The sequence below is a fragment of the Homo sapiens genome, chromosome 17 (assembly GCF_000001405.40).
Source record: "Homo sapiens chromosome 17, GRCh38.p14 Primary Assembly".
Classification (NCBI taxonomy): Eukaryota; Metazoa; Chordata; class Mammalia; order Primates; family Hominidae; genus Homo; species Homo sapiens.
In genome coordinates this window covers 53494790-53496672 of record NC_000017.11, presented here as the reverse complement: position 1 = coordinate 53496672, position 1883 = coordinate 53494790, and positions in this window count along the sequence as shown.

The following is a 1883-nucleotide window of genomic DNA, read 5'->3' as shown; positions in this document are numbered from 1 at the left end:
CTCAGAGTTTGGGGTGGGGCTAAAATTTCCAACCCTTTAATCAAGTGGTTGGTTTTCCTGACAACCAGCCTTTATCCTGAGGCAATCCAAGAGCTTAGCAAGAGTCACCTCATTAGAACAAAAGGGGCTATCACCCAGGAAATTTCAAGGGATTTAGGAGCTCTGTGTCAGATGTTCCTATTACTCAGGAAATTACAAAGTTCCTAGGAGGTCTGTGTCAGAAACTAGGGGGCGGAGATCAAGAATATATTTCTTATTATATCACAATATCACAGCTTTCTTTTATTAAGCAATGAAAGCCAGGTGATTTTTCAAAATTTCCTTTTGACCTTGGCCTTCAGGATTCCCAGGGCTAAATTTATCTCAAATACAGTAATAGTTCTACATTTGCTGTAACTCAGTAATGTCCTCCTGCAACTGTGTGTGCATCTGTGCATGTGCATATATGGGCATGTGGGTTTGTGTGCATGTTAAGGTATTGTCAGTGATGTTTATCTACAAATTTTGGGAAGTGTAAATAAAAATTAAATTAAAATTAAAGGGTATAATTACTTTTCAGTTTCACATGAAATAACCCATTAATTTGATAATGCATTGTTACCCGTTGTTCATGATGTCAATATATAAATATATCTCTTTAAAAAGTGACATACAAAGTGACACGTTTTCATTTTTAGATTGTTTCAACTCTATCAGAGACAATCCTAAATTTTTCATTTTAGGTTGTTTCAACTCTATGAGAGGGAGTCATAAATTTTTCATTCATAATGTCTTTTGTGTAACTGTATACCAATTCTTTATTTCAAAATAGTTACAGCTTAGTATAACTTCTATTTTATGTCACTCTCTCTCTTATTCTTTTTTTTTTGTTCTCCTCCAGTATTCATATTATTAAAATGCAGTCACCCACTCTCAGACTAGTACTATCATCCTGAATAAATAAGCTTCAGTCATTCTGGCATTTTCATTTATTCAAATTACATACTCAAGTGTAATTGATTCCCTGTTCCCTTCATTTACTTAGAGCTAGAGATTTCTTTAAAATACAGATTTTATGATCTATCTCCACCTCCTTGTTACATTTTTTAATACACTAAGGCCCCAAGATACAATTAAATAATTTGGGCAGAAGCTGAATAGTCCCCATGTGTAAGTCTTATTTGGAGTTCTGTGAAGCATTTTAAGCCAAGAGATTTCCTAAAAGCTTTTTCCTTTGCTTTAATTTCAATGGTATTATTAAGAATGGAAGAGGAAGAATTAATTACTTGTGTTTGCTATTTCCTTTGTATTCAATACTCTGAAGAGAAGAAATGGTACCAATTAACATTCTTTTTAGATGCCTTTAATAGTCATGTGTAAAAAACAGTCAAAATTGTGAATTTTTTCAATAGTACAAAACTTAATATATCAGATGAAGCAGCAATGGGGTGAGATTTTTCTAGAAATAAGTAGTTGTGTTGTATTTGAATATCAATCTACTATGTGACACTGGTTAACTCCTCAATGTCTGTAATTTAATAATCTTGTTTGTGTATGTGTTTGTTTTGTGAGAAATATAATAGTAAAATAAGACCTGGCTTCAGAACTCCCTTTCATTCATCATGCTTCAGTTCCAAAATCTGTGCAATATGCCTGCTTTCTAATGTATTTCTCATTGGTCCCTTCTTTTGGCAACATTACTGGTTTGAGACATCTGCTTCAAGCATTCTTAAAAACCTTACCTTTATTTATCCATCTGCTTTTCTCCCTATGCAGCTATCTATACATTCACTGTAACAGAGTATCTGCAAGGTACCTGCTGTTAATACACTGGGCAAAGTACCACAAAAACTTCTATTTGATATATATCTGAGATAGGTCCACTCAGAGAACAATATCATCTC